The sequence below is a fragment of the Homo sapiens genome, chromosome 17 (genome assembly GCF_000001405.40).
Source record: "Homo sapiens chromosome 17, GRCh38.p14 Primary Assembly".
NCBI classification, from domain to species: Eukaryota; Metazoa; Chordata; class Mammalia; order Primates; family Hominidae; genus Homo; species Homo sapiens.
The window spans coordinates 44,959,272-44,969,191 of record NC_000017.11 but is presented as its reverse complement, the minus strand read 5'-3'; the positions used below and the strand labels follow the sequence as shown (position 1 = coordinate 44,969,191).

The window sequence follows — 9,920 nt, the reverse complement described above, 5'->3', positions numbered from 1 at the left end:
CCCTGGTCTAGAGGCAGAAGTAAAGGGATTGAGCAGAGGGAGATGGAAGAAAAGGGCCCAGGAAAAAGCAGCCTGGCCACAGTTCGGTGAGGAAGGGGCAGAGGCGAGGAGGGGTTGGAAGCTCCTGCCCCACCTCGGGGGAGACGGGTCCCGGAACAGTCAGATCCAGAAAGGAGGAGGCGGCTGCCGTCTGGCTCCGCTGGGCCCCCGGACAGGCATTCATCCGATATCTGGATCTCCCAGACGGGTGGTCTGCGAGGCCTGAGTGCCAAATGGTCCCCTCCGTATCCTCTTCTTCGCTTCATAACCCCCTTTCTCATCCTACCTTCCAGCTCCCCGCTCCGTCCTCCCCTCAATCGCTCTTTGTCCCCTGCAGACCTGGGCGCTATCCCCTCGCTTCCGCCCCCTGCGGGTCTTGGCCCGTCGCGACCCCAGTCCCTCTGTTTTCCTGGTGACCGACCCTCGAAGCCTCTCCTCTCCCGATCCCCTCGGAGCTCTCTAGCTCTCCCTGTGGCCCTCTCTCCCTTTCGCATTTTGGTCCCTACTCTCCCCTTCCCTTGGAGCGCCTCTCGGGTCTCTCGGACCCCGGCCCCCACCCCATTTCCGAATCTCGGTCTCCGCGTACTCAGTCTCTTCTTTCCTCTCCCTGCTCCCGCCCGGGGTCTCCGCGGCCCCGCCCCCTTATGCCCCGCCCACCTCGAGGCGCCCGCGGCCCAATTAGGCGCCGGCCCCGCCCGCAGCCCCACCCCTAGAGAGCCCAGAGCCGCGCGGAGCTGGCGGGGCGGGGCCCGGCCGAGGGGGCGGTGGCCCGGCTCAAGGAGGCGGGAGGAGTCAGGCGGGAGGCTGCAGGCGGGAGGCGGGAGGCGGGAGGCGGCGGCCGCGGCGCTCAGTCCGGCAGCGCAGCAGGAGGGAGGCGCGAGGCAGGAGCCGGCGGCTGGGCTCCGCAGCGCAGCCAGCGCAGCGCGGCGCCCCGGGCCCGGCCCCATGCCCGCAGCCCCGCCGGACCGTCCTTGAGCGCGGGCGCCTAGCCCGCGCCCCCTGCCCGCCGGCACCATTGCCCCGACGGCGCGGCCGGGCGGCCCGGCGCTCCCCAGGCTCCGCGCGGGCCGAAAGACGCTGCTAGCGGCCGCCGCGGGTGTGGTGATGCTGCTGGTGCTGGTGGTGCTCATCCCCGTGCTGGTGAGCTCGGGCGGCCCGGAAGGCCACTATGAGATGCTGGGCACCTGCCGCATGGTGTGCGACCCCTACCCCGCGCGGGGCCCCGGCGCCGGCGCGCGGACCGACGGCGGCGACGCCCTGAGCGAGCAGAGCGGCGCGCCCCCGCCTTCCACGCTGGTGCAGGGCCCCCAGGGGAAGCCGGGCCGCACCGGCAAGCCCGGCCCTCCGGGGCCTCCCGGGGACCCAGGTCCTCCCGGCCCTGTGGGGCCGCCGGGGGAGAAGGGTGAGCCAGGCAAGCCGGGCCCTCCGGGGCTGCCGGGCGCGGGGGGCAGCGGCGCCATCAGCACTGCCACCTACACCACGGTGCCGCGCGTGGCCTTCTACGCCGGCCTCAAGAACCCCCACGAGGGTTACGAGGTACTCAAGTTTGACGACGTGGTCACCAACCTAGGCAACAACTACGACGCGGCCAGCGGCAAGTTTACGTGCAACATTCCCGGCACCTACTTTTTCACCTACCATGTCCTCATGCGCGGCGGCGACGGCACCAGTATGTGGGCAGACCTCTGCAAGAATGGCCAGGTGGGCCAGGCGGGGGCATGGGGCTGGGCTGGGCCCAGGGCACCCAGGGAGCCCGGGGCAAATGGGTACCTGATCGGAGTTGGCGGGGGCGCCAGGCGGACGCAGGTGGAGATCCCACCCCACAGCGGCCCCGCTTGGTCATCACGTGTGGGGATGGTCGGAGCCAGCGGACATCGCCGATCCTCAGTTCCTGGGTTCCCGCTCCAAGACAGACGCTGCTGGGCACCGTCTGGAACGCTACTGGAAATGCGGGAAATGAACCCAACTAGTCAGAGCGCAGGGCTCCCAGGTGCACGGACTTGCCCTTGGGGGCTTGCCCCTTGGGAAGTGGATTCGGGCCGACAGCAGTGGGCGATAAGGGGAGGGCAAGGATGGGCTCTGGCGTATGGAACAGGGAGAAGCAGCATCCGCGCCCGCGGGCGCCTAGGCGCGTGGCCATGGGCGCGAGCGGAGAAGGCTGGCTGCAGGAAATGTTTGGGGCACAAAGGCAAAGGGAGCCCGGTGCTTACAGCCCTGGCTGCAGTGCCTCCCCTGCCCTGGAGAAGGGACCATTGGGCGAATCTGACACCCTTTGCAAAATCCGGGAGTTGGGGAGCTGTTTCCCACTGTAGCAGAGCTTCCCCAAAAAGAAGGCAGTCTGGGGGGCGGGGGAGTTTTTCCTCCTGAGGCGGGGAGGGGGTGGGGGGTGGGGGGTGGTGGAAGAGATGGAAACTCCCCCTCCTCTTGGTCTCCCAGCTCCAGCCCCTCCTGACTCTGGAGTGTGTGGGGTCCTCTCCATTCTCCGTCCCCATCTCAGACGCTGCAGCTGGAAAGCACTGAGTGTGTCGGGGACTCTGGTACCGGGACTCGCATGTGCGTGTAGCTCTCCTTGGAATGGCCGACCCCAGGACCAGCCTCCACCCAGCCCCGCCCTGGGGTGACAATTTTAGCCAGCTCTCTTGATACCACCTCCCTTCCCAGTGCTCTCACTCGTGGTGGCCTGTGACCTGGGGGTGTGGTCAGGCTGAGCATTCTCTTCGAAGAAGGGGACCACTGGTCAGAACTAAAGCTGAGCTAGTGGAAGTTGAGAAGGAATCTCTCACGATTAAGATACAAGACCTTGTTGGAACCCTTCCCACAGCAGCACTGCCCTGAGGCTCTGCCAGCCTGCGGGTCTGCAAGTCTTAGGGGCAGAGACAGGGGCAGGCAGGGAAAGTGAGCAGATAGCCTGCCAGGTGCTTATAAGTCAGCCCTTCTTCTCTTTCCTCTGCCTGGCTGCTGCCCCGCCAACACCTTTTCTCTGGTTTCTGCCTCTCCCCTGCCTCTTTCTTCTATTTTGCTGTTTCTTGTCCATCTCTCTCCTGTGTCTGCCTTTTCCATCTCTCCCTGGGTTTCTGGCCTCTCCTCCCCGGATCTAACCCCACTCTTCTCTATTCCTTGTATGTCTCTCTTTCCCACGTGTGTCTATCAGACATCCCCGTGTCTCTCCTCTTTGTCCTTGGTTCCTGACCAAATGGGAGGCCCCAGTATCCAGCAAAGGCTCATTCTGCAGACAGCCCCATGATTCCCCCTATTAATCACCAATAAGGGATGCAGCAATGTCACCTTCATCAATGGAATGTCTTCCTTTCCCAAAGAAGTTTGGGCTGACACAGAGCTGAGGTTTCAGGGGATTGGCAGCTTGCCTGGATAGGGAGGCAGTCATTGGGCCACAGGTTGGCCCTAGACCCTGCACCACCTCAGGAAGTCCCAGCAGGTCCCCAGAGATGAGGCAACAAGAGGCCCCGGAGATGCTATGTGCTTAGAATGGGGAACTTGCTTCAGTCACTGGGAGGTAAAACCATCTCAAAAGCTCCTTTTCCCTCCAGCAGGGGCAGGGTGTTGACAGAGTCTGATGAAGGGGTGCTCACTGGAGATGGGACCACAGGCTAGTAGGAAAAAAGGAGGTGGCTTTAACTAGGGGTTTCAAAGGCCCAGCACTTTAATAGTTATTCAGACCAGCCCCCTCAAAAGAAAAACAGGAGAGGCTGGGCCTGGTGGCTCACGTCTGTAATCCCAGCACTTTGGGAGGCTGAGGCAGATGGATCAACTGAGGTCAGGGGTTTGAGATCATCCTGGCCAACACAGCGAAACACCATCTCTATTAAAAATACAAACATTAGGCCAGGCACGGTGGCTCACGCCTGTAATCCCAGCACTTTGGGAGGCCGAGGCAAGTGGATCATGAGGTCAGGAGATCAAGACCATCCTGGCTAACACGGTGAAACCCCATCTCTACTAAAAATACAAAAAATTAGCTGGGCGTGGTGGCAGGCACCTGTAGTCCCAGCTACTTGGGAGGCTAAGGCGGGAGAATGGCGTGAACCCGGGAGGCGGAGCTTGCAGTGAGCTGAGATCGCGCCACTGCACTACAGCCTGGGTGACAGAGCGAGACTCCGTCTCAAAAAAAAAAAAAAATACAAACATTAGCTGGGCGTGATGGTGCATACCTGTAATCCCAGTTAGTCAGGAGGCTGAGGCAAGAGAATAACTTGAACCCAGGAGGCAGAGGTTGCAATGAGGTGAGATCTCGCCACTGTACTCTAGCCTGGGCAACAGAGTGAGACTCTGTCTCAAAAAAAAAAGAAAAGAAAAGAAAAGATAAAAACGAAAAGAAAAGAAAACCAGGAGAAATAGTGGGGCCCGTAGCCCCCTCTCCCATGTCCTTTATGACTTCTTCCAAATTGCCCAAGAGACTCATTTGATCTCACTAGCCATCCCACTTGTTAGTTTTGAGCCCCTACTAGGAGCCAGATTTGAGGCTTTGTAGGAGTTCAGTCCACTTGCCCTCCAAGACCTCATGGCCTATGCAGGGGGAACATTCATAACATACAACCACACGCCCCAGCGAATACTGTGTTAAAGGTGGGCTGGGAGCCCAGCTGATGACTTTGGTCCCCAAATGTGTTGGCTGGGAGGGAGTGCTTCAGTAGGGCCTACCCTGGTGCAGACCAACCTGATGCAGGGGGAGAAGATGGTGAACCTTGGTCTGCAAAGTGAGGAGATACCACAAGGGAGAATATAAAAGGTCAAGTGTAGGGGAAAGCCAGCTCAGAGGTGGACAAGGACATTTAAATAAGCAGAGAAAAAAATGGCAGGACCAGACAATGTATGGGAACAAAAGAGAGAAGCTTGTATCTCTTGTGACTTCAGAACCAGGGGCCACCCTGAGCACTGCGCTTTTCCTTCCTGGCTTCCTGCCTGTAGAGAGGCTTCCAGAATTTCTTTAGGGAGGCAGAGCTGAATCTGGGCTCTGCCTCCTCTCCGGGCAAGTTCGGGATGGGGAGCACCACCTTCATGCCTGGCACTGAGGCTCCCTCTGTCCTTATCTGAGGCCCACTGGCCCCAGTCCTTAGGGGTAGCCTTGCATCAGCACCCCTGATGGCACCAAGTCCTGGCCATTAGGATGCAAGGAGCCTGGGGAAAGGACTCTGGGTTGGCAGTGGGGCCCTGGGTGTGGTGAGTTGCCTGCAGCTGCCTCCAAGATCCACAGTTCAGGTGGGTTGGAGAGGACACAAAATTAATAAACTGGGCAGGGGGCTTTGTGAGGATGTGCCAGGGCCTGTGGTCAGGGTGCTGCTTATCCAGGGTAGGAGGCTGTGGGGAGGTGAGTATCACCAATGGGCCAGGGGTTTGACAACAGAATCTGAGTGTGGCGAGAGGTGCTGGCATATATAAATTGAAGGTGGTGGTATAAAGACCTAAGAAGGCTGTGCACAGTGGCTCACGCCTGTAATCCCAGCACTTTGGGAGGCTGAGGCGGGCGGATCACCAGAGGTCAGGAGTTCGAGACCAGCCTGTCTAACATGGTGAAACCCTGTCTCTACTAAAAATACAAAAAAACATAGCCGGGTGTGGTGGTGGGTGCCTGTAATTCCAGTTACTCGGGAGGCTGAGGTAGGAGAATCACTTGAACCTGGGAAGTGGAAGTTGCAGTGAGCCAAGATCGCACCACTGCACTCCATCCTGGGTGACAGAGCAAGACTCTGTCTCAAAAAAGAAAAAAGACCTAAGGAGATCAGCCTCTCCCCTGGTGGTGGCAGATGGCCCCCTGGCTATCCTTTCTGGCCCCTAATACCTTTCACAACACAGAGCACAGTGCCTGGCACAGTGGGAATGCAGTTAATGTATGTATGAAAATGCAAGTGTCCCCCATGGGCCAGGCTGGCTCCCCTATGGGAGCCACATCTGTACACCCAAGACCCCAGCATTGATCTGAGGGCAGGAACGTGTTTCCTGGATGCCCTCTCACCCAGTTCCCTTGGTCAGACCATTGCCTCAGTTTCCCCTCCTGGCAGCCCTTGAGGAGCTGATTATACAGCGCTCCCTCATAACAAGGCCCAAACCTGCTTTCCTGCTTCCTTGGCAACCTCATTTCCCCACACTTCCCCTTGGACCCCAGGAGGAGCTGCAGGCCTCAACTGTCTCCAGTCAGGCAGAGAATTGGGACCCCTGGGTTCCATTCTTGGATCCCCCACCATCTAAGGATGGAAGGGCATAAATTCTCTCTGCCTCCATGGATAATTAGGATAATTACGGCAACAATCATGGTGATGAATAAATAATAAACATAAGCATAACAGTTCTGATGCAGTCACATCACCAGGAGATTCCTGATGACAGATGACTCTGTTCCAATGGATTTGGCTATTAAGGAGCACACTGTTTTAATGAGTTAAGGCTAAATTAATCTGGGCAATAAAAATAATTGTTATTAGTAGTAATTTATTAGCAAAGATAATGAAATGCATGTGTAATAATAAATATTACCAGGATTAGGGCTCAGGGAACAATACAGAAGTTGGCTGTTTGCTTTCAGCTCTTCCCTAATAACTCAAAGCCCCATCAAGATCTAATGTTTTTTTTTCTTTATCATCAAAAGACTTTTACAGAGGTGGCAGTGGTGAGGCAAAGTCTTCTCATCCATTTTCTAGACAGAGAAACTGAGCTCCTTGGCAGACAGCATCTCCCCCTTCATTTATTCCCTCCCACCTTTAACTAGACCAGTTTTCCCAGCTAAGCACACAAAGAGTTTCTTCTCAGGTTGGGAAGAAGAGGTTGAGGGAAAAGAAGGGGCTGGAGAAGGGCTTTAAAGGGAGGCCCTCATGCAAATATGTCGGGTCCTCTTCATTGCAGCATCGCGGCTGAGTCAGCAGCTCTGGCACAGCTGACCTGCAGTGCTGCCTCCAGCCCAGGAGAGAGGATGGGCCCCTCCCCTAATTTGGCTTGGTTCTACCCAGACTTCAGCCCTGGGAGTTGGGATGGTAAGCTGCCTTCAGTGAAGGGACAGGATAGAGAGGGGCCGTGGAGAAACCTGGCTGAGAGAACTCCACTCAGTGCAGCCTCCCCACACCACAAGCCACAGTCCTGGAGAGGGCGCTTCTCTTCCATGTCTCTACCCAGGATACCCTGGAGAGGCCCCGATCCTCAAACTCAGGACTTATGTTTCCATACCTGTTAGCTGAATGTCTGTAGATCATTCGTTCACCACCACACAATCTCTCTCTCTCTCTCTCTCTCTCTTTTTTTTTTTTTTTTTTTGAGACGGAGTCTCGCTCTGTCGCCCAGGCCGGACTGCGGACTGCAGTGGCGCAATCTCGGCTCACTGCAAGCTCCGCTTCCCGGGTTCACGCCATTCTCCTGCCTCAGCCTCCCCAGTAGCTGGGACTACAGGCGCCCGCCACCGCGCCCGGCTAATTTTTTGTATTTTTAGTAGAGACGGGGTTTCACCTTGTTAGCCAGGATGGTCTCGATCTCCTGACCTCATGATCCACCCGCCTCGGCCTCCCAAAGTGCTGGGATTACAGGCGTGAGCCACCGCGCCTGGCCTTTTTTTTTTTTTGAGACTGAGTCTCACTATGTCGCCCAGGCTGGAGCGCAGTGGCATGATCTCGGCTCACTGCAGCCTCCATTTCCCAGGTTCAAGTGATTCTCCTGCCTCAGCCTCCCCAGGAGCTGGGATTACAGGCGTGCCACTATGCCTAGCTAATTTTTGTATTTTTAGTAGAGATGGGGGTCTCACCATATTGGCCAGGCTGTTCTCGAACTCCTGACCTCAAATGATCCACCTGCCTGGGCCTCCCAAAGTGCTGGGATCACAGGCATGAGCCACCGTATGCAGCCACCACACAATCTCTTATGATTATAGTCAGAGCCCCCAAAAGTGACGGCAGGCTCCAAGCCCAAATGCTGGTGCTCCCTTGACCCATTATCCTGCCTGTCCCTCCCCATCCCCCATCAAGGCAGGGACCAGCAAGGATGTCACATCAGACTGAGAATCCCAGAGGGAAGTAAGGCCTGGATTCCCTTCTTCCCACCCAGTTCCTTTCTACCACCCTGAGGTGAGACAGGAGGAGCTACAATCCTCTTTGGGTGGGTAGTGACAGGTACATAGCTACAGCTCCATGGAGGCTGGCACCCAGGCCCCTTCTAAACTCTGGGAGGGGAAAGCATTACCAGGCCTTCTGTCTCACTGCTGCAGCAGGAGAGACTCTGGAATGCACTTCAGACCAAAGACCTGGCCCTGGTTCCAGGGTGGTTGCTGACTGGCAGCCTGGCATTGGTCCAGCTGCCTGACCTGTGGGGCCAAGGTGTGCCCTTGTGTCCATCCACTGACATAAGATCCAGCGGGTGTGGCTGAAACGATGGCATCATTATGAAAGCAGAGAGGAAGGAATGATGAGAGTAGGGAAGGCCCTCCATTCCCTGGAGGTCCAGAGAATTCCTCTTTGCAAGGACAGGCTTCCAGGCTTCCTGGAGGTATTGAGGTTCTCAGCCAGCTGGAGGGAAAGCCCTATAAGAGTTAAGGAGGAAGACTCTGCCTTGACTCCCAATTCAGGCCCAGATCAGACCTGCCCTAGAAATCCAGGGATCCTCTCTGCCCCTTTCCTGAAACAAGTCCTGTATGATTGGAAGGGGGCGGGGGAGGGGGAGCGTGGCAGGGATGAGGCGAGGCTGGAGGCCAGGTTTCTGGGTCTGCTGATCCTCCCCCACGGGACTGCCTCACCTCCCTCCCTTCTCATCCTCTCTCTCCTCTCGCCCTCCCTCCCGTGTCCCCCACCCGCAGGTGCGGGCCAGTGCTATTGCCCAGGACGCGGACCAGAACTACGACTACGCCAGCAACAGCGTGATCCTGCACCTGGACGCCGGCGACGAGGTCTTCATCAAGCTGGATGGAGGCAAAGCACACGGCGGCAACAGCAACAAATACAGCACGTTCTCTGGCTTCATCATCTACTCCGACTGAGCTCCCCACGTCTCCCTCCACCCACGTCCCTCACCCGCCGGGGTCCCCTCCGGGCGGGGCAGACGATGACTCGCCCCTCGCCCACCCGCTCGCTGCCCGGCCCTCCCCGGCTATGACGCCCCCGGCCCGTGCTCAACACCGCCTGGGCCACAGCTAGGCCCTCCCACCGGCTCGCTGCAGAGCCGGGCCCAGCGCGCCCTGTCCCCGTGCCAGGGAACCGGGGTTGACCGCCCCCGCCCAGCCCGCGCTATATATTTGTACAATAGGACTGTTTACTGCCCACCTCCGCCTGCCAGCCCACCCCAGCCTGGGGAGAGGTCGCGGCGGCGGGTTTGCTTCCTGCGCTCTGAGATGAGCTGCCCTCCGCTCCCTCCGGGGTGGCGCGCCCGGGGGAGGGGGGAGTTGGGGGCTGGATAGCTTCCCAGCACCCTCAGAGCCCCCGCCCGGCTGTGCCCCGTCTGACCAAAGTTATAATAAAAACATTTTCACCCCGCAGGGGTTTCAGTCTGTGCCCTGGGGAGGGCTGCGGGAGGCGACGGTGGACCGTGCCCTCCTCCAGATTAGGAAGGGGTCTGGTGGAAGTTTCTAGGGGAAACCAGGTGCCAGAGCCAGAGCTACTCCAAGAAGAAGTTGCCAAAGGGCCTAAAGCCCACCACAACCCAAGTGGGCCTGGGCAGCTGGGATGGGAAGCAGCCCAGTTACTTCATCATCTTCCATGGTGGACACATTCCTTTTTTTTTTTTTTTTTTTTTTAGACGGAGTCTCGCTCTGTTGCCAGGCTGGAGTGCAATGGCAAGATCTCGGCTCCCTGCAACCTCCGCCTCCCGGGTTCAAGCGATTCTCCTGCCTCAGCCTCCCGAGTAGCTGGGAATACAGGCGCACACCACCACGCCCAGCTAATTTTTGTATTTTTAGT

At 58.1% G+C, this 9,920-nt stretch overlaps 1 protein-coding gene across 1 annotated transcript, besides 2 other annotated features; it reads left to right on the top strand.

The window, feature by feature from the left end:
• Nucleotides 599-958: a silencer, noted in NCBI's record as "silent region_8604". NCBI's record gives its function as "represses an Ori minimal core promoter by ATAC-STARR-seq in GM12878 lymphoblastoid cells {active_cell/tissue: GM12878}" and the evidence as "EXISTENCE:reporter gene assay evidence [ECO:0000049][PMID:35858748]".
• On the top strand, nucleotides 889-9,499 carry C1QL1 (complement C1q like 1). Its single transcript, NM_006688.5, has 2 exons — nucleotides 889-1,740; nucleotides 8,825-9,499. The coding sequence occupies exons 1-2, from the start codon at nucleotides 1,144-1,146 to the stop codon at nucleotides 9,002-9,004; spliced, it is 777 nt and encodes a 258-aa protein (NP_006679.1). The 5' UTR covers nucleotides 889-1,143; the 3' UTR covers nucleotides 9,005-9,499.
• Nucleotides 6,974-7,474: an enhancer, noted in NCBI's record as "H3K4me1 hESC enhancer chr17:43039086-43039586 (GRCh37/hg19 assembly coordinates)". NCBI's record gives its function as "activates a minimal SCP1, AML or CMV promoter by ChIP-STARR-seq in naive H9 embryonic stem cells {active_cell/tissue: H9 hESC(naive)}" and the evidence as "EXISTENCE:reporter gene assay evidence [ECO:0000049][PMID:30033119]".
• Nucleotides 9,500-9,920: the final 421 nt, after the last annotated feature.